Below are 22,034 nucleotides of genomic sequence, written 5' to 3'. Positions count from 1 at the left end.
CATGCCAGGCTGGTGCTAGTGTGTTACAGTCTATCCTTAGAACAAACTTCTGACATGATACCAGAATCTTTCCATTTTACAACTGATGTATTTGAGGTGATTTTTCAAAGCACAGCAATTAAGAAATAGTATTGAGATGTGAACTCAGACAGCCTGAACTCAGAGTCTCTGTGCTTAACCATACCCCACACTGCCAGGTTAAGAGCATCTAACACTTTAAATTACACAAAGCAGGCTCATTATTGATACAAATGAGCAAACAAGTAAAGGAACAGAACAACAATTCCAGGGTTTCTCACTAAACTAAAATTATTGTCATTTTCTTTGAAAAAGACATTATTGCTATGCATGGTCGTTAAATTGTAGTGGCAGCTCATATTGTTACTACTTCTTAAAAACTCAAATGAAAAGTTGCATAACAATGGGAAAATACATAGTTCAGCAGGATCTCCTGCCTCAAAAGAGAAAGGAAAAAGAAACTTACATTTGGGAACTGGTGAAAAGGATTAAAATGAAACCTAGTAGAAGAAACTTGACAGAGGAAAACAATTAATTACTCAAGTGAAAAACAGAAAATAAACTAAATCATGATGCAAAAAATATAGATGAAAAAAGGATACATTGTGAGAGATTGTGTCTTGGCTTTTGTTTCCTTAACCTCCTTTCTCCAAAAAGGGTCCCATCAAGACTATGGGAGATTCCTAAAAAAGAAGTCCCTTCCACCCACACCTAATCCTCATCACTCAGACCTCATCCAGCAGAGAGACTCCTACTTGTGAGAAAATATGAATTGTTATTGTTGGGTATTATGTGATGCTAATAGGGTTAGAGGAGGATGACTATTTGGGAAATCAACCTGTGAAACTGTAATATACATTATTATGTAGATTTACTATGGTCTTCAGGGCATTTATCCTCACCTGCACATTGCATATTTTTTAGTCATTACTTACCATCTATCTTCCCACTCCCATTAGAATGTGAACTCCATAAAAGTAGGAGCTTTGTTAATTTTATTAACTGCACCTAGATCAGTGCTGGTCATGTAATAGATACTTAATAAACATATTTTAAATGACTAGATGATACAATGAATGATATAATTTGAATGCCAAATATTTAAATATCTTTGGTTTAAATGTTTATTATTTGAGAACAGGTCAAATACCAAACATTTGATCCTTTCTCTTCCAGAGCAACAATTAAGTGGTATGAAGAAAATAACATTAACTGGTTCCCCATATTCAGTCAGCAACCCCTTCTCATTCCCCCATGTTTGAAACCAAGAAACAGAAGGATAAGTGCCAGGAAAAAGAATGTTTTTTGGTTTGTTAGTTTGTGCTTTAACATGTTGAATAAAACCCACTGGCAGCTGGGGGATAGGAGTATGTTTTTGCAACAGCCTTAAAAGATATTTTCATAGACCCAATACTTAAAATTAATAATTTGAGTGCTTTTGTAGAAACATCTAATTGGATTATCCTCTATCTGGGTACAAGGTCATCTCCCAAAATTAAGTGAAAAAGGAGTAGGGTTCTGTGAAGAAACAGAAAAGAACAGTATAAATCAGGCCTACCTGCAAGCCCAAGGTTTCATTTACTTCAACTTTCAGTGTATTTAACATTATGCCAGCTGCTATGGTCAACTCAAATACAACTCCCAGGAGAGATGTCATCAAGAGCCCACCAGTTGTGAGTAGTGTACTAGTTACTATGTAAATATATCCCTTCTTCAAGCAGCTTACAATCCTTCAGGGGTAGAAAAAGCCTTGCTACATAAGATAATTAGAGAATAAAATAAGACATGTTACCATAAAGTGCTCATTTGGATATTTTGTATGCCCCTAGTAAACACTCACCAAGACTCTGTACTTCTATTATCCTGTTCAAAGCACTATCAGGTTTTCCTGGCCTACACAGACTTTATTGAATGTACTTTGCTAACAGATTATTTTTCCTAAATATGTCTCTTTGATAACCTAAATGATCTCTCCATCCTTTATATAATTCTGGACCATGAGATTCTAGTTATGGTGCGTATGTGCCTACCACCCACAGTCACATGTGGCTACAGAATGCCTTCAGAATGAGTAGTAACCTTAAGGACTCACATTTATGTGGCTTCTGTACCAAAATGAAGCTGCCATTTTTCAGTGTGAATATGTTTTTTTTCTCTCATGACATAGACAAATGTTGATGTTTACTACAAGTTGGTACATTAGTTGCTAATTAAGTTCCTAGCTGCTCCAGCCAAAACTTGCTGTATTGAATCCAAGAAAAGAATGGCAGCTATATCAAAAATAAGTTGTTGGGGGATTTTTTTGTTTTGTTTTATTAAAGGAAAGTTGTATATTAAAGAATATAGGGAACTTACAAGCTGGGATCTAGGAAACTTTAAGTCTTGGCTTCCTTCTAAGCTGAGTTGGTGGTTCAAGTCCATCCACATCTGTTACCAGGTCCTGGTCAAAGCTGCATAAATACCAGCAATCTAAATATGAGGCAGTAAAGTTAACTGTTTATTGTTACTCACTTTTTCGAACCCACCTCCAAATTCCCAGGGAAACAAGTTAGTGTTTGGGAACCCACAGGAGGTCAGGTTTATTTTAGGAAGGACTTCCTCCTGTCTTCTCCACATCTCTGCAAAGATGTCTTCTGAGCTTCATCTCTCACCTGTCCCTCGCAGTCTCACCACCCTCAGCCAGGCCTGCCTACATTCACCAGCCGAGGGTAACTCCCTGTTCACGTCCGGGTCTGTGGCAGTTTCTGTTCACTTCCCCTTTGGAAAGTCCCAAATCACATGCTTTTATGCCCTGCACATTTTGGCCTACAAAGGACCTTATTGTTAAGGCAGAACCTGCTGGGAAAACAAAATATCCGCCGGAGGAGCTTTGCTAGAGCGTTGGTCTTGGTGTCAGAGAGAATTCGCTTTCCTTTTCTGTTTCCCGCGGTGTCCTTAACCAAAGGCCTCCTCTCTTCACCCGCCCCGACCAAAAGGTGGCGTCTCCCTGAGGAAACTCCCTCCCCGCCAGGCAGATTACGTTTACAAAGTCCTGAGAAGAGAATCGAAACAGAAACCAAAGTCAGGCAAACTCTGTAAGAACTGCCTGACAGAAAGCTGGACTCAAAGCTCCTACCCGAGTGTGCAGCAGGATCGCCCCGGTCCGGGACCCCAGGCGCACACCGCAGAGTCCAAAGTGCCGCGCCTGCCGGCCGCACCTGCCTGCCGCGGCCCCGCGCGCCGCCCCGCTGCCCACCTGCCCGCCTGCCCACCTGCCCAGGTGCGAGTGCAGCCCCGCGCGCCGGCCTGAGAGCCCTGTGGACAACCTCGTCATTGTCAGGCACAGAGCGGTAGACCCTGCTTCTCTAAGTGGGCAGCGGACAGCGGCACGCACATTTCACCTGTCCCGCAGACAACAGCACCATCTGCTTGGGAGAACCCTCTCCCTTCTCTGAGAAAGAAAGATGTCGAATGGGTATTCCACAGACGAGAATTTCCGCTATCTCATCTCGTGCTTCAGGGCCAGGGTGAAAATGTACATCCAGGTGGAGCCTGTGCTGGACTACCTGACCTTTCTGCCTGCAGAGGTGAAGGAGCAGATTCAGAGGACAGTCGCCACCTCCGGGAACATGCAGGCAGTTGAACTGCTGCTGAGCACCTTGGAGAAGGGAGTCTGGCACCTTGGTTGGACTCGGGAATTCGTGGAGGCCCTCCGGAGAACCGGCAGCCCTCTGGCCGCCCGCTACATGAACCCTGAGCTCACGGACTTGCCCTCTCCATCGTTTGAGAACGCTCATGATGAATATCTCCAACTGCTGAACCTCCTTCAGCCCACTCTGGTGGACAAGCTTCTAGTTAGAGACGTCTTGGATAAGTGCATGGAGGAGGAACTGTTGACAATTGAAGACAGAAACCGGGTAGGTGTCTGTTCAGATGGAGCTAGCCTTTTAGGCAGATTTTGCAAAGCAGGCTTCCTTGTGCGTTTGCCCCTTTCCAAATGTGCTTGACCTCTTTGGGCAAATCTAGTTTCTTCCTTTGAGAAGACAACATCTAGGCACTTTAAGACAATTTTAAAAATTTAAACACAAAAGAACTACTTTTCTAATGTTTTCACTGAAGTAAAAAGGAGTTAACTCTAGAATCGTAATGTGTATTAACAGGTAACTTTTATTGAACACTTACTATGTGCAGTTGGTATCATTTTCAAAATGTATTACTACAGTTCATGTTCAGAGTAACCCACTGAGGCTCCTAATGTTATTAACTCCATTTTACAGATGAGAAACCTGAGGCAGGTTAAATAATTTGTCCAAGGTCTCCCAGGAAAAACAGTGGCAGAGCTAAGAATTTAGCTTGTGATAGTGTTGAATGTTTTTCTTATTTAATGTAGTTCCATGGAGCAGGGGTTAGTAAACTACGGCCCATGGGCTAAATCAAGCCTGCTACTGTTTTTTTCAGGCCCACAGGCTAAGAATGGTCTTCAGATTTTTCAATTTTTAATTTTCAGTGTTCATAAAGTTTTATTGGAACACAGTCATGCTCGTTTGTTTACATATTGCTTGTGGCTGCTTTTCTACTCCAAAGGCAATTGGATGGAGACTGTGTGCCCTTAAAGCCAAAAATATTTATTATCTGGCATTTTAGAGAAAAAGTTTTCCAATCTTTGCCCTACATTACACTTTGTGCCATTTAGTCTTAGCCCAAATGGGTAAATTGCAATCACACACACACACACACACACACACACACACACACCCTTTTTCTTTAATCAAAGTTTCAACATTCTTTGAGAATCAAAATTTAGAAACAATTCATTGAAAGAATGTGTTGCTAGTTTCAGTTTTTCATGTTAGTGAAGAAACTCATTTTTCTTAAGGTAGCATTTTGACAGGGCGAATTTTACTGATGACTTTACATTGAATGTGATATGAATTATTTTTTGATAAGTGAAGATGTACTGTGATGTGTATAAATGCTGACCTGTTTGAATGTGACTTATTCAGGCTCGTAAGTCAAAAGTCTTGTTTTGGAAGACATGTAGACAAATAAAGCCATGACTAAAAGTCAAAGGCTTTGTCTACACCACTCTATGATTTTCACATGGTTTTTTTCTCTCTCTCTCTTTTGGGTCATCCATTGTTTGTATATTCATACAAACTTCTGGGCATTTGATTGATTTGCTATAGCCTATGATGCAATTTAGTCTTTAGTGAATAAAGTTAGTGATCTTTTGTAGACTTGACAGACACAGGGCCTGTCCAAAGACCCAAACATGCATCTAATTTTGATGGCCAGTTTTCCCAACAAGTAAATTACTTTGCACTGTTGTCTGTAATGTTTATGTCGTTTTGTGTATTGAGAACCAGCTAGAACGCATTATAGTAGTCCAGCTGGATATGACAAATGTGTACATCACTGTGGCAGAATCTTAATTTGGAAGAAAGTATGCAGCCTTCAAGCCAGCTGGAGATGGAAGATGGCATTTCCAGCCACAGTAGCTGTTAGAAGTCCAGAAGCAACAGAGTCCAGTAACACCACAAAGCTGTTTATGTTTGGTGGGTATGATGTCCCGATTGCCAGCGAAACAGCACTTCTCCCTATTTACTCTAAATACTTCTGCCTATCAGCATCACTTTTGTCTTGCCTGGATTGAATTTCCGCCAGCTAGATTTTATCCAAGTTCTTGATTCTGGCAAGCTTGGAGGCAGCTAGCAGTAATGCAAGGGATTTGACACAAAGAAGATATAGAGTAACGGGACTTTTGTGTACTGGTAGCAGTTAAGGCCAAAACAACCCAAATTCTCCCTCTGATTCACATTTCAAAGGAGGCCCCAAAAGACTGAGCAGCTATAAATTTGAGGCTCTCTAGGAAGCAATAGTTTCTCTGTGAGAGTGTGGAATAATTTTTGTGTGCATCATTTACATGTATTATCAGTTCCAAAACTAAGATATGGTGGACAATGAGACGGAAGCATTAAGTTTGGTAGAATAATCTATATTGAGGTGGTGGTCATTGACAAATGTTTATCTTACAGCAGCAAAGTGTGATAAGACTGTAGAAGGGGAACACATGGATTTGAGGTCCATCTTGGCTTCTTACTATATGCGTTACTTTGGGCCAAATTACTGAAGTTCCCTGATGCTACATTTACCTGTGAAAATGGACATCATAAAATTTCTCACAGTATTTTAGTCAACATCAAATCAGAAATAGTGTTTATGAAAAAGCTTATAAATCAGAGCTATTTGATATGATAATGGTGTTGACTTTTGTAACCATTCATCTGGTTACATTTCTGTGTAAATTTAAGTTTGAGAGATTGAGGTAAATTCCCCATGTCGCAATTGAGATATACTTCTTAAAGTCCCTAGATTATACTGATTTGAAAAAGAAATTACCTCTTTCATCCCAGAACCTAACTAGGATTAGGTAGAGGGTTGGTGTTTAGTAAGCATTGATTACTTGATTGATAGACTAATTGAATTTATTTCTGAAAGTGTCTGGAATAAGCGTTGAAAACACATGACGTATTGAATTGTGTTGCCAGGCGTTAGAGAATGGATGAATGATGAAAATAAGATTTCCAAATTTGCTTTTTTGAAGGCTTAAAATAGCATTTAACTAAGTAATCAAGACTTCTATAAAATGGTCTTGTATTTTCATTCTTTTTCTGTTTCCCCATAGACATTTTCTACTTGATCTATTATTTTAATTTAGGATTCCCACCCCATTTCCTAGCCCCTGCCCGTAATTACAGCAGGCCTTCTGAAAATGACTTTATACATAGGTTTGTGTCCAGCAAGTACCCAAAAACTTATTCATTCATTCACTCATTCATTCAGTTTGAATTTATTGAGTGGCATCTTTGTGCCGGATGCCATGCTAGTGGTGAAAAGATAGGAGAAAAACACAGAGACTGTTTTGTCCTTTCGTGAAGTTGTGTTGTAGTGTTAATTAGTGTTGATAAAAGAATGTCTACTGTAGGCCAGTCATGGTGGCTTACGCCTGTAATCCCAGCACTTTGGGAGGCCGAGGAGGGTGGCTCTCGAGGTCAGGAGATGGAGACCATCCTGGCTAACACGGTAAAACTCCGTCTCTACTAAAAATACAAAAAAATTAGCTGGGTGTGGTGGTGGGAGCCTGTAGTCCCAGTTACTCGGGAGGCTGAGGCAGGAGAATGGCATGAACCTGGGAGGCGGAGCTTGCAGTGAGCTGAGATGGCGCCACTGCACTCCACCCTGGTGACAGAGCGAGACTCCATCTAATAAGAAAGAGAGAAAGAAAAAGAAAGAAAGAAAGAAAGAAAGAAAGAAAGAAAGAAAGAAAGAAAGAAAGAAAGAAAGAAAGAAAGAAAAGAAAGAAAGAAAGAAAGGAGGGAGGGAGGGAGGGAGGGAGGGAGGGAAGGAAGGAAGAAAGGAAGGAAGGAAAGAAGAATGTCTACTGTATACAAGGGACTATTCTAAATACTAGAGTTTCAGCAATAAATATATGCCATTTTATCAATCATTATAATAAAGCAATCCTTAATGGTAAGGGGGTACCCCTGTACTGCCTTGCTCCTCTTTTAGGATGCTAAGTTACAATTTGGCATTGTTACATCTTAGTTATAACTAAGTTACAACTTGGCACACCCATCAATTTAGGCAGTCATGAACTCTGGGAACGAAAGTGATCATATAAACATTTCCATAGTGTCTTAATAATCAAGCTGAACAGCTAAAGAGAGATGCATGTTTCATCCCTGGCCAGTTCAGAACACAATGCATCTGTAGTCCTGGAGACTCCACACACCTTCCATTTACACAGAAGAACCAGAGATGCCATGACTAGTCCACCTAAGAACAGTCCAGTTCTCCCAACATGAAGTTGAGCACCCAAGTCAATCTCCCCAGGAACATTGTATTGTCTGGCAAATTAGGAAAGATAAGAATTTCATCTGCAAAAAAAAAAGTATGAATAAGAAATTAGCTATGTCAATGTGACAATAAATATTCATTGGGTTAAGACATTAACTTTTTGTGGGAAACTGGTTCTTTAAAATTCTTTTTTAACATACAGGTTTTGCCTCCTGATTTACTTTTATCTGAGAGTTGAACTCTGCTGGGTTAAAAAAATCACCATTATATTTAAATAGCTATCTAAGGTTATTATAAAGGGAAGAAAACATTTTCATTAAACTGTACAATTGTGTTGGTAAGCCAGTGCTTTATGGAAATGTCATTGGTTTCTTCACTGATTTCTGTTGGAAAGAAAAAACATATCAAAGAATTTAGAATATGAAAGCATTGAGTTGTATTATTACCAAATTAATTTTATTTCGTATTTCATAAATTAGTTAACAATGTATTAATAGACTACATAGTGAAAACATCCATCCATTTTTAACTTCACAGAGAAAACTTCGAGTGGGGGAGGGGCATGGGTGAGAATTGTTTTATGACTTGTTGCAGTCTCAAATGTAAATATTCACCTCCCACGAATTTCTGTAATTGTGTTTACATATTGGGATCAATATCTTTACAATGTTTTAGGAGAACATATTAAATTTTTAAAATTATATAATTGCTTCAAAGGGAGCTGATGTACTTTCCAGCACCAAAACTGAGAAGATTTCTTAAAAATTCAGCATCTTGATGAGGCTGCTAAAATTGCACAGATATATGTAGTTCCACATTCAAATTGTAAGAATATGTTTAGGAAATAATGACATCATGATCCTTATATGCTTGGACTCAATAACGGCAAAGAAAGCTTGAAAAATATGATTCCACAGTAAAAGTTGACTTAATAGAATAGTGGTTGAAGAAAATTTTGTGGATAGAATATGCTTAGGGATTTTTAATAACAGCATTTGTTGCCTCACTGGTTCTTTTTAAGGAAATCCTTCCTGATTGCTTCAGTCAAATATATTTAAAGCTGATTAAAGGATGGGGTAATAAAATATGAGAATGGCTGAGTTAAAAGAAGACACTGAAACCAGTCTTATTTACATCTATAGCAATTACTTGTTAAATTAGCAGATGATAATAAAGATGTTACAACATCAGGGAAGCCAAAGAATTTCCATTAGGAGACTAAGAGAGCTAGAAAAAAATGGTAAAAAATGAGCAAAAATCTGCTTAGAAAATGTTGTGGGTGACATGGACTGAATTCACTTGAAATTTACTGAGTTCAAATAGTTATTTTTAACCACTTCTTGCCAGAAAATGAATTTAAAATTGGAGAAAATTATAAGCTATAATTATAGTTCAAGAAGGCAGGATTCAGCCTCTAAATTCAACTGCCTGGGATCAAATTCTACTTCTGCCACTTACTCACTTTGTGACCTCAGAGAGGTACCTAAACATCTCTGTGCCTCGGATTTCTGATCTGTAAATGAGTTAATATTGGTACCTATTTCTGGGCTGCTGGGTTAATATATTCAAGTTCCCTAGAACAGCATGCTTAACTACTAGATGCTAAGACGGAAATATCCCTTGGGTAGAGACCATGCTGTATGTGCTTGTGCAGGTGAGGTGTTTGTAACAATAACTCTTCCCAATCATCCATAATAGTTCTAACACTGAATTAGTGCCAGACATTGTTCCAAAAATGTTAACAAATTTCTGACATAAAAGGTTATGGAATATATTTATAGAACTAGAAAATACATAAATTTGTAGGAAAGAACTAAACAATCCAAATGATACATGTGGAAGATTGGCAAATGTTGAGAAGGACCTTTGATAATATCAAAGTCAATATTTCTTATCTGGGAGGCTGATAGAATCACATGAGATGTTTTACTTTTTCTTTAATATCTGAGTTCCTAACATAGACAAAATAAATCATAATCTTTTAGGGGTGTTTCCTAGACATCAGTATTTTTTAAGGCTTTACGGTTGTTTCTAACATGCAGCTAAGATATAGAAACTCTGAAATTTCTTTTCAGCTGCCTTGTAACCACATATTGTAACCAAGGTCTAGGGAGATGAAGTAAATTGCCTAATGCCACAGAAAGCTAATGATGTCCTGCCTAACTTCTTTCATGTCTAAACATGGCTTGAGTTACTCTTTCCTCCAAATCCTTATTGCTATATTAGGACCTAGGGAAATGCACTGTGACAATGATTACACAAAAGATCCACATTTAAAAGAAATTTACTAATCTAAAAGAGAAAATAAAAGAAGGCTAAAGACTCTAATGAATGGATATAAAAATAATTCTGCCCCATATTTCCAAAAAAAAGATATAACAATAAATTTCCCATAACATTAAAAAAACACAAATTTGAGAAAAATTGATTATAGTAATAATCAACTATGCAAATATTACATAGGAAAAAATATAAATCTGCAGTAGTAATTACTTATTTCATAATGATAATCATGAAGAAAGGAGATAAGAAATGTTTGATTTCCCATTTACAGACTCCATAGATTGAAAAAATATAGCCAGCCCTAGATATACAGAAAGAAATTGGTGAAAATAGACATAACATGGCTGCAGACTAAAGATACTTTCTCTTCTATCCTTTATTCAGGAATGGCTGAGGTAAAATTTATTTTCTAGGTGTCAGGTTTGAATAATTCAATAGCTTTTAAAAAAAATGGTTCATATTTAAAAGGACACTTGGTCCAGAGATTTTTGTTGTTGTTGTTGTTGTTGTCCCGGAGATTTTTTTCCCTGCCGACTTCAGAATTGCTACAGGTAACATTGCTATTTTCTTCAATGTTTCAATGTAAGCCTTTATTTATACTTATGCTTAATTGCTCAGTTTTTCTAAAGGGTATTTCCTGTTTAAGGTTATTCAGAAGATGTTTGATCTTACTTAATTCTAATTTTCTCTTACAACAGATTGCTGCTGCAGAAAACAATGGAAATGAATCAGGTGTAAGAGAGCTACTAAAAAGGATTGTGCAGAAAGAAAACTGGTTCTCTGCATTTCTGAATGTTCTTCGTCAAACAGGAAACAATGAACTTGTCCAAGAGTTAACAGGCTCTGATTGCTCAGAAAGCAATGCAGGTATTTGTAATTTTACTGAGGAAGATTCTTCAAATTCTGCCTAGTGATTGAGAATTCAATAAAGCAGAAAGACACAATGCTAAACACCAAGATTTTTAGAATCAAAATTTTAAGAGTGGAACATATGTGATAGATCATCTATTTTATCACCTTAACAAATGAGGAAATTGATGCCTGGGAAAATATCAACTGATCAAAGACCATTTTTCATCCAACCAACACTCTTTCTACTACCTTATTTTAAAAACAATATGACTACCAGAAATTTTATCAAGATTATGTAACATTAAATATACACAAATACATTGGAAGAAAGTATTTTAGTGGTTATAAAAAATCTGCTGCATATTCTTCTGAACATTTTTATACATTTTAAGCAATGTATTAAGCATTTGATAAAAGGATTGTTTTGTCAATATATCTCAACCTTACCTAATGTGAGATTTTAAACAGCATTCAATAATAGTAATAACATAACATTTTATAGCTCCTTCTCCTACATTATTTGTAAATCTCACTTAAACTGCTATCTTATTTTTCTTTTCGTAGTATGCATCCTATGTTTCCAAAAATATCATATGAAAGACAAATTGAAAGTTAACTATTAATTAATTATAATCATTGCAGTTTTGTTCTGGTGACCCTAACTAATGAAAACTTTGCTGTAAAAAGTGGGGTGCTGCTGTAACAAACACCTAAACGTGTGGAAGTGGCTTTGGAACTGGGTAATTGATAGAGACTGTAAGAGTTTTGGGTGAATGGTAGAAATATGGGTGTTCAGGGTGATTCTGGTGAGGTCACAGAGAGAAATGAGAAAAATGTCATTGGAAACTGGAAGAAAGGTGATCCTTGTTATAAAATGGGATAAAACTTGATCTCACAAGTAATGGATTTGGATATTTGGCTGAGAAAATTTCTTAGCAAAATGCTGAAGGAGCAGCTTGATTTCCCCTAACTGCTTATAGTAAAATGCAAAAGAAGAGAAATTAATTGAAGGAGTTGTTATGCAAAAAGGAACCAAAATTTAAATATCTGGAAAATTCTCAGCCTATCCATATGGCAAAAAATGAGAAATTGTGTTATAAAGAGAACAACCAATTGATAACAAGATCATGGGTGCTACTGATGGACTTAATCAGCCATTTCAGCAGAAGGTAGGAGTAGAGATATATTATACCAGCAAATACACTTCCAGTTTGAACTGAAGGAGACAGAGAAAGCAGGACAGAATGAGAAAAGGATACTGGACTTTCTGGATTCTACAGAACCAGACCATAGAGCTATTTGGCTGTGAATGTGTACTATTCTTCAGGGAAAGGAAAGAATGCCCCCAAAAGTGATACAGAAGTCATCAGGGTTGCCACTTCCACCACAGACCCAGAGGCCAAGGCAGTTTCCTTTTTGGTTTCAAAGGGCAAAACTGTCTCTCTGGTTTTAGTGAGCCCTCAGGATGACCCTGCCTAGTGTCTCAGAAGCAGAGCTATCCTCACAGAAAGCTGTGTGGATGGAGCCCTTAGAGAGAGCAGGCTGTCTTGCAGAGCCCTAGAACCTGCCATTCCGTGGACCTGGAAGGCAGAGCATCAAACCAAACAGAGCTATTCTCAAGCCTTATAAGCCTTAAGATGTGACAGAATTTACCTTAATAAGTTTTGGATTTGCTTGGGACCCATCACCCTTGCTTTCTTTCCTATATCTCCTTTTTGGAATAAGACGTCCATCCTATGCCTGTCCCACCATTGTATTATGGAAAAGAAACATGTAGCTCAACTGGTTTCACAAGTTCACAGCTGGTGATGAATTTGCCTTATCATGAATCACACCTCTAGTCTCATCTACGTCTGATTTGGACAATGTTTAGGTGAGACTTTTGACTTTAGACTTAGAGTTCATGCTTCAGTGAGTTAAGGCACTTGGGCTGATGAGATGAGATGAATGTATTTTGTATGTAGTAAAGATATGAATTTTGGGAAGCCAATGGTAAAATGCTACAGATGGAATTTTGTCCTCCTAATACTCATATGTTGGAACCTAATATGACTCTATCTGGAGACAGTGATAGTAGGAGATAGTTAAGATTAAATGAGCCAGGCCAAGCGTGGTGGCTCACGCCTGTAATCCCAGCACTTTGGGAGGCCAAGACGGGTGGATCACCTGAGGTCAGGAGTTTGAGACCAGCCTGGCCAACATGGCGAAACCGCATCTCTACTAAGAATACAAAAATTAGCTGGGGTGGTGGCATGCAGCTATAATCCCAGCTACTTGGAAGGCTGAGGCAGAAGAATCACTTGAACCAGGAGGCTGAGGTTGCAGTGAGCCGAGATCATGCCACTGCACTCTGGCCTGGGTGTCAGAGCAAGACTCCGTCTCAAAAAAAAAAAAAAAAGATTAAATGAATCATAAGAATGGGGCCTTAATCTGATAGAATTGTGGCCTTTTAAGAAGAGGAAGAAAGAGAAAAAGAGAAACATCTGTCTCTTTCTCTCTCTTAACCGTGTGAGGACGCAGGGAGAACGTGGCCATCTGCAAATCAAGGAGAGAGTCCTCATCAGACATTGACCCTGCTGTCACCTTGATCTTGGACTTCCAGTGCCCAGAACTGTGAGAAAAGAAGTGTCTGTTGTTTCAGCCACTCAGTTGATGGTGTTTTATTATGGCAGCATAAACAGACTACTGTAGGAGCTTAGACTCTGGGTCCTGATACATATCGGATCCTGATGCTTATCAAATCCAGGCTCCTTCCTTGAATGTGTGACCTTTGGCCAGGTTCTCGACTTCTCTATGCCTCAGTTTACTCCTCAGTAAAATGGAGATAATAATATTACTTATCACCTCAGTAAAATGGAGACAATAATATTACTTACCATCTAGGTTTATTTTGAGACTTAAATAACTTAATGTATGTAAAGTATTTATATTGTGAGTGCAAAATAAATTAACTATTATAATAGTCCCTAATGTACTTAATATCTAACTGCAAACATTGCCAAGTTTTCTTCTTGTCCAAAGTCACAACAGTTTTCTTTAGGAAATTTTCCATACAAAGTGGGGCACATTTTCACTGGGTTCTTTAAGATGAGATAATAAAAAATGATACGTTAGAAAATTTTCCTTATGGCATCAGTCTTCTCTGACAGATTGCAGCTTCATAAAGGCAAAAACTCTTGATTTTCTTTTTAACCCACATAAGCCCTTAATAAAATACCCATTACATGTAGTTGAAGTAAGAAAAGCTGGAAGTGAGGAATGGAGGAAAGAAGAAAAGAGGGGCACAAAATATTTCATTAAATGTTTTAAAAATCCCCAGAAATTCAGAATACATGAATATAGGCTGACATTAAAGCAGATGTACGTCTCGTGCAGAACACACAGTGAGGAAACAAAATGGCAAGAGCAAAGCTAAAGAAAACTACCAAATTTGCATTTTCATTAATTCAGCCTTAAATGTAACTTTGTGTCACTGAATAAGTGACTTACTTCCTAAACATGACGGTCAGACAGGAAATCACTTTTCTTGTGATTAGCATAATGCTTATATTGTTTTTTTAGCTACAGTCTAATCATTACAAAGAACTACTCGTTGTGTCCATATTAAAATTAAAAGTACCTTGCCATAACAAAAGCACATTCTAAGCCTTTCGAAATGTCAACATATTAAAATATATTAAAGCAATCTCTATTGCGGGCTCTCCATTTTGTTTTCAAAATAACAATAACAGCTATTTATATTGTATAAAATCTTGCATTGCAATACAATTTACATTCTATTCAGAACTTCAAAGTATTTAAATATATTCAGGCAATCTCTATTAGGAACCTCTAGTTTGTTTTCAAAATAACAATAACAGTTATGTATGCTCTACAAAAACTTGTATGGCACTATGATTTGCATTCTAATACTGTTATTCACAGAGATTGAGAATTTATCACAAGTTGATGGTCCTCAAGTGGAAGAGCAACTTCTTTCAACCACAGTTCAGCCAAATCTGGAGAAGGAGGTCTGGGGCATGGAGAATAACTCATCAGAATCATCTTTTGCAGATTCTTCTGTAGTTTCAGGTACTTGAAACACATACGTACTTTAATACAGTAATTACTACTTCCAGAAAAACCAACTGGGCAGAACCTATTAATCAGAGGGAGAAAATGTGGGCATTAAGGTTAGTAAACATTTATATTAAAATAATATTTTTAGAGGAGATTAAATTAAAATAATTCTTGGCCAAAATGCTTTCTAAAACTAATCCAATATCGATGTGTTATAAATATGAACACAATTGCATCTAATTTTAATTTATAAGAAATCCATAGTCATTGTAAGATAAGTATAAGAATGCCTTATATTTCCTGGTTTTCAAAGTACTTATAAATAGATCAGTCAATTTAATTCACCCAAAACCCTGAAAATAAAATAGATTCATTGCTTTTTTTCTCTGGTTTAAACTGGGATGGCTCAGAGAGGTTCAACTGTGTCGTAAAAATTAAAATCAAAGCTATAAAAAGGAAGATGAACAGATGCTGAACTAGGGTTGGCTTGAATTGCATTAACTAATCGGTGAGGACTGAAGACTACCATGTCCACCTTTTTGATACTGAAACAGCCCTGGCAGAAACAAATTATTTAATTATTTTTTCCCTTTCTAATCTGCTCGTGATAGGAGAATCCACCTCTCCCCTTCTCTGCCAAAAGGACTTATTCTGTTTTCACAAGAAATAGTTGCTTAAAGCCTGTGGTGTGCTGGTGAATGTAACAAGTAACTCTGGGGAAAAGAAAAAGCCCTAGTTTGTAGCATTTGCTAGTCTCTGTGGTTTAAATATTCTCATTCAGGCTTATTTCAAGCTTCCAACATAAGATCACTGAACACAAAGCTGGGAAGAGCTGTGCAGTGGCACATCTTTATACAGCATTCCCACCGTACAGATGCAAAAGACGGAGATAGCCTCCAGATCAAAGATGATAGTTAAATGATTAGGTGATGAGTTTTAAATACTTACAACCTTTGCCTGAAAATAATTTCTTTTATGGTAAGTTTATACAATTTAATTTTTGTAATGGCTGTGGTTAAAAACTCAGAAAATTCCTGAAAAGTTACCAGTTAGCTCCTGTGAGCCCATATAAACTAACTCTAGCACACCACTGCAAAGTTTATTATTTTTATTTTTTTAATTTCATTTTATTTTATTTTATTTTATTTTTGGAGATGGAATCTCACTCAGTCACACAGGCTGGAGTGCAGTGGCATGCTCTTGGCTCACTGCATCCTTCACCTCCCGGGTTCAAGTGATTCTCCTGCCTCAGCCTCCCAAGTAGCTGGGATTACAGGCACCCACCACCATGCCCGGCTAATTTTTGTATTTTTAGTAGAGACAGGGTTTCACCATGTTGGCCAGGATTGTCTTGAACTCCTGACCTCAGGTGATCCCCCCCACTCGGCCTCCCAAAGTGCTGGGATTACAGGCATGAGCCACTCCGCCTGGCCTTGTTATTTTGTACTTAGATAAGTAATATGCATGCATTGCAAGAAATCTGTAATACACAGAAACACACAAAGAAGTCACCAATATTCCCAGAATGTGGATATTACACTTAACATTTGGGTATGTGTGCTTCTGGGCTTTTTACATACCTGAATGTGTATATATAGTGTCATTTCTCTTATGTTCATTAAATATTCTTCTACAGCCTGGTTTTTAATGACTAAATAATGGTCCCACCATTTGGATGCAGTATGATTAATTGACCAATTGTTGAACATTTAAATAATGCCTCGATAGCTCTCTTTGTACTTATGTCACAGTTTGCTTTTTAAAAACATATTATATAATTGGAATTTCTGGGTCAAATGATTTATACTATTTTAACACATTTGATACTTAATGTCAAATCTCACTCCAGGAACTTGTACCAATTTACATGTTCTCCAAGAGTATGGGATATGAGTGCTTATTTCCCTGAATTCTCTTCTACGAGAATGAATAATATTATCATGTTCAATCTTTTCAATTTGGCTGCTATTAAAAATGGTATTTCGTTATTTGAATTTACATTTTCATATTTCTGCTGAAAAAGAATTTCACAAATTCATTCTCTTTGTTTTGTTAATTATCAATACTTTTAAAATTCACTTTTCTATTAGGGTATTCATCTTCTTTTTGCTGACTTATATGAACTATCTAAGTATATAAGATATCAATTCATTGTCATAAATAGTACCAATTTTTTTCACAGTTGGCTTGCTTTTTAGCCTGTTTGTGGATTTTTCTCTTTTTCTTTTTTTGGGGGTTCTGGGGGCAGGCGGGGACAGGGTCTTGCTCTGTCTCTCTGTCGCCCAGGCTGGAGTACAGTGGCACAAACACAGCTCACTGCAGCCTTGACCTCCCAGGCGCAAGTGATCCTCCCACCTCAGTCTCCCAAGTAGCTGGCATCACGGGCGTGCGCCACCATACCCAGCTAATTTTTGTATTTTTTTTAGAGAATGGGGTTTCACCATGTTGTCAAGACTTGTCTGGAAACTCCTGGGCTCAAGGAATCCTCCTGCCTTGGCCTCCCAAAGTGCTGGGATTATAGGCTTGAGCTGCTGTTTGTTTTTTAATGTAATGCGATTCCACCTTTCTCATAAACTCTGGTGCTGCTGCTGCTGCTAATAGCAAAGCTTATACAGGATAGTTTTTTTTGTTGTTGTTGTTGTTTTTCATTTGAGCAGCTGCACCTTCCTTTAGAAATCATGATTCTATAGGAATGCCAAAATTCACTATCTGAGTGTGGAGTTTTCATGTTTTAATAAATGTCCTTTACAAGCTACTCGACATCTCTATGAGTTACTGGCCATTTTCTGTAAATCCACACTAGAAAGAAGGGAAGATGGAGCTACTGCTGAGAGATGACCCTGCATCTTAAATGAGGGTTTATCATCAAAGATTACCAGACTAATGCATTGCATTAGCTTGTAGTTAATCTGCTCTGAACTTCTAGTGAACAAAATTAAAGGCAAAGTTTTAAATTTTTTTAAATTTTTACTTCTTAGTATAAAACTTAAAGATGTATCTTGTGAAAAAAATTTTAATAATGATATTAGGGGACAGAAAAGCTTTTTATTTTTTTTTTTCCTCTTGGGTTCCTTCCTCTCTATCTCCCTCCTTCCCTTCCCTTCCTTTCACCCTAACTTCCTTCCCTCTCTTCCTTTCACTTCTTTCATTTAACAACTATTTTCCAAACTCCTATCATGTGCCAGGCACCTTGTTGTATACTGTGAACTCAGGAACATAACAGAAATGGCTTCATGGCCATGGAGCCTAATATGACTCTATCTGGAGATTGTGATGGTAAGAGATAATTAAGAGTAAATGAGTCAGGCCAGGCGTGGTGGCTCACACCTGTAATCCCAGGACTTTGGGAGGACGAGGCGGGTGGATCACCTGAGGCCAGGAGTTCAAGACCAGCCTGACCACCATGGTGAAGCCCTATCTGTATTAAAAATACAAAAACTTAGCCGAGCATGGTGGCAGATGCCTGTAATCCCAGCTACTTGGAAGGCTGAGGCAGGGGAATCACTTGAACCCAAGAGGCAGAGGTTGCAGTGAGCCAAGATTGCACCATTGCACTCCAGCCTGAGCAATAAGAACAAAAAAACTCCGTCTCAAAAAAAAAGAAATGACTTCAGCCCCCATGGAGCTTTCCACTGAGGGAGGTGTCGGCCCAGCAGTAGTAACTGTATAGCTACACTTTTAGTAAGTGCCATGAAAGAGTAGTACAGAGTATTAAAATATATAATAGTCTGAGAGCATGTAAGAGTATACAGTAAACTGCACAGTAATCCGAGGATCCATCCAATTCACAAACATCTTAATGGTCTTCTAGTCCATAGGTTCTTTATGATATCTGGATTTCTCATGTGGATTTGAAAGCAGGTTAGTTTAATCCATTCTGGCCCTTTCCAGAGCACTAGCAAAGAGTCACTTATTTATGAAAATGTAGTGTGTTTGCTTCAGACCTTTGCTTTAGACTGCTGCTGTCATTCCAGGTATCTGTTTGTTTCCTTGTTATCTTAAGGACTAAGAATTACTGATATTAATAACTTATAAAGTACCATTAGTCCAGAGAAATTATTGAGTTCTTTTGATTGAAGTTTTTGTTGCAGAATTTACTATGGAAGGGTTTTGCCTGCATAGGCATTTTCTGACAGAAGTAACAATCAAGGTAAATGTGAAAGTGCTCCATAGCTTCTAATATGCATTTGTGTAGTTTTGTTTTGTGTATCTTCTTGATATTGATAATGTTTAGTCTTTATTTTGAATTCCATTATATTAGGTTAAAGTTTCAAATAGTTGCCAAGATAGCACTGAAAAAAACTTGTCACAAAGTCTGTAAATATGATTTTTATGTGTATAAAGAAAAGACTCAAATTATTTGTAATTTTAAATTAAGATATTTATAATTATTATTTCTGAACCAGTTTATCAAATATTTTCTCAGTGCATAGTAGTCTTAGTGCATGCAAATATTAATTATTTATAGCTTTAATGCAAAGATTATGTGTGTGTGTGTGTTTTAGCACCTTTTACCCCTTAACACATCTGATGGATAAGACACACTACCATCAGTAACAGTGGCCCACCTTGAAACTAATTTTAAACACATATCCCTTTGGCACTAGAGGTGACATATCAGAGTTCTCTAGTGGATTGTTCTAGAGAGTGATTTCATCATATCTCCAAACTTGCGGGTTGATATGTGTCCTTTTTCCTCCTCCCACCTATGTTTACAAATCAATTGCTTCTCATTAAAAAAGTGGTTAGTAATTGATATATCAATTTTTTATTTGCCCTTTTCCAAATTACCAAAACAATTTCTAAACAAAATTTGAACAGTTCTCAGACTATTAATGGCAATTTAATGCTGGATGCTATAGTTCTGCTTTCTGAAGTCACTGGTCGTCTTATAACAAAAGATAACTGCAAAACTTTGGTGTTTCTCTAGATCAGATTTCCCTAGGAAACATCAGAGAGACACTAAGCCTGCTTTCATTTTCTATTAAAAGCATTTTAATTATAGCAAATAATTGACTTCTATATAGCAAATATTTTACTTCTAAAAGCGAACAGTTAAATTAGTTGTGCAGTCAGTCTTTGTCTGCTACTGCTGCTTTGTCAAAACAAGTGAATAGTTACTTCACATTAACCTTTTTTCATTATACTATTTTAGGAATTAATGCATTACAATAAAATCAAAGGAAATTAAGTGACATTTAAAACTAAGTCAACTTTATTGCATTTGGTATAAACTTTTATGCAGAATGGAGCAGAAAATCCCCCCAAACTTCTTTAATCATTGTGTTACAGCTGCCCTATTGTGAAAACTAGAAAATGCAAATGCCTCAGATTGGCCAGCAGAGGGCGCCTTTACATTTATAAAGCCAATGGAATTTCACTGTTTCAGCGTGAAAGATTATAATGTAACTGTAGAGTGTGCCATGTGTGAATATACAGTGCGCATGACTGTGATTGCATGTGTATATTTTGATTTATATATTCGTTCACGTGAAGATTTTAAAATTCCACCCCAGCTAATGAGCTTACCAACCTGCTTGTTTTCAGACTTTAATACCTTCTTTCTCATATTTCCCCATATGTTCCACTCCTTAGGTTTATCCGGTGACATTATGCTTTGGAATATATTGTGGATATATTTTGCATAGATCATGTTCTGTAGGAGGGGTTTAAAAATTGACCTTTACAAAACAGCCTTCTTCTCCCTGGTCCAATCTGTTATAGCACTTTTTTTGTTGTTGTTTTGTTTTGCCTTTTTATAGACTAAAGTCCAATCTTAGATTTGGTCTATACTAATTTCTGTAAAAGTGCCACAAAATTTATCCTTGCACTTGAGGACCAGAATAATGTTCTGTAGCACTAACCTCTAGAAATCTAGAGATTTTTAGAATCTCTAGAAATAAAACCATAGCATTTGAAACCTAAGTGGAAAAAAATAATTGATACAGTAGTTTACAATAAGACTGTTTCAGAATCATTCATGCTATATCAGGACTGGTTTGAAGTAAGAGCACTCCTTTACTTTTTAATTTTTCTAAACTTAGTTATCATTAATTATTGAGAACTAGCAGTACTACTGAGGCAATCCAAAAGACACATATTAATTTGAGCTGAGAGAAAGAGAGAGATGCTGATGCTGACACTGATATTGGTACTTGTTAAAGGATTATGTAAGTTTGTATTTTATTTGAAACCTAGCATGAGGTATCTGGGTCAGTTATATGGCTTACAGTTGCATAATAGTCCTAGGAGGATTACCATTCATACCTCAGGAATGGGGACATAAATATTATGACAGAAAGACAGAAAGAAATCTCCCCAGTGTGCAGTTAATACATGTTGGATTTATTTTCATGATATCTGTTTATGACTACAAACATAAAGCTGTTTTTTTAGCAGAGTTTTAACAAAAGCAGTGATTTTAATTTTGACTATCAGATCTTCCCTTCACAATTTTAGGATGTGAATGAGGTCAGAAGCCAGAGAAATAGGAAGAAGGAGGTGAGTTGGTCAGATAATACAGTATCATTGAGAGAACCAAGCACTGAGGAATTGCGTTCACTCTCAAAAAGTTTATACTCTAATGAAGGAAAACAAGTGACATGCCTCCACAAAGAAACTGTAATCTAGCCATGGTAAAAGAGATGCAAGATCTATATTACAGGATGAAGAGAGAAGATCTGTAAAAGAAGGAAGACTGACGAGAGAAAGCTTACCAGATGAGGAATATCAGATATTTCATCTGAGCCTTGAGAGCACTATGCTGGATTTGTAAATAGAAGTGGCAGGCAACATTTCAGGTTTCAGAGGCATCATGAGCAAAAGCACAAGCACAAGAGAGCTCAAAATGTGTTCAGAGGAACAGTCTGATGAGAGAGGAGCATTTGTGGAGGAGGGCGGTAGGATTTAAGACTTCTAAGATCAGTGAAAGTTAACGAGTTTCTCTAACAGTAATTTTTACAATGCTTTTTCTCACACACACACAC

General features: G+C 37.3%; 2 protein-coding genes across 10 annotated transcripts in view, besides 4 other annotated features; one reads left to right on the top strand and one right to left on the bottom strand.

The window, feature by feature from the left end:
• GCA (grancalcin) overlaps window positions 1-3,006 on the bottom strand; it is a 56,634-nt gene extending 53,628 nt beyond the window's left edge. For 2 of the 8 annotated variants that reach the window (XM_006712400.5, NM_001330265.1), the window contains exons 1-2: window positions 2,586-3,006; window positions 2,374-2,487 (exon numbers count right to left, since the gene is read on the bottom strand). In XM_006712400.5, the coding sequence (XP_006712463.1) occupies window positions 2,374-2,445 (72 nt within the window). In that variant the 5' untranslated portion in view covers window positions 2,446-2,487; window positions 2,586-3,006. Of the gene's footprint in view, window positions 1-2,373; window positions 2,488-2,529 lie in introns of all 8 variants that reach the window. The other 6 variants (XM_047443881.1, NM_001330267.1, XM_006712398.5 and 3 more) reach the window with 4 other exon arrangements.
• Window positions 1,853-3,052: an enhancer, noted in NCBI's record as "MED14-independent group 3 enhancer chr2:163175227-163176426 (GRCh37/hg19 assembly coordinates)". NCBI's record gives its function as "activates an origin of replication core promoter dependent on BRD2, BRD4, P300/CBP and CDK7 cofactors, and independent of MED14, by STARR-seq in HCT116 cells {active_cell/tissue: HCT116}" and the evidence as "EXISTENCE:reporter gene assay evidence [ECO:0000049][PMID:35650434]".
• Window positions 1,853-3,170: a biological region, named in NCBI's record as "MED14-independent group 3 enhancer GRCh37_chr2:163175227-163176426".
• Window positions 2,621-3,170: an enhancer, noted in NCBI's record as "active region_16717". NCBI's record gives its function as "activates an Ori minimal core promoter by ATAC-STARR-seq in GM12878 lymphoblastoid cells {active_cell/tissue: GM12878}" and the evidence as "EXISTENCE:reporter gene assay evidence [ECO:0000049][PMID:35858748]".
• IFIH1 (interferon induced with helicase C domain 1) overlaps window positions 3,085-22,034 on the top strand; it is a 51,611-nt gene continuing 32,661 nt past the window's right edge. Inside the window, exons 1-3 of one of the 2 annotated variants that reach the window (NM_022168.4) lie at window positions 3,085-3,914; window positions 10,836-11,004; window positions 14,914-15,060. In NM_022168.4, coding sequence (NP_071451.2) covers window positions 3,462-3,914; window positions 10,836-11,004; window positions 14,914-15,060 — 769 coding nt within the window. In that variant the 5' untranslated portion in view covers window positions 3,085-3,461. Of the gene's footprint in view, window positions 3,915-10,835; window positions 11,005-11,185; window positions 12,863-14,913; window positions 15,061-22,034 lie in introns of those variants that run through there. The other variant, XM_047445407.1, reaches the window with a different exon arrangement.
• Window positions 3,201-3,290: a silencer, noted in NCBI's record as "silent region_12062". NCBI's record gives its function as "represses an Ori minimal core promoter by ATAC-STARR-seq in GM12878 lymphoblastoid cells {active_cell/tissue: GM12878}" and the evidence as "EXISTENCE:reporter gene assay evidence [ECO:0000049][PMID:35858748]".

This window comes from Homo sapiens, chromosome 2 (genome assembly GCF_000001405.40).
Source record: "Homo sapiens chromosome 2, GRCh38.p14 Primary Assembly".
NCBI lineage: Eukaryota > Metazoa > Chordata > Mammalia > Primates > Hominidae > Homo > Homo sapiens.
The sequence above is the reverse complement of the archived record's forward strand: the minus strand, read 5'-3'. Positions and strand labels throughout refer to the sequence as shown.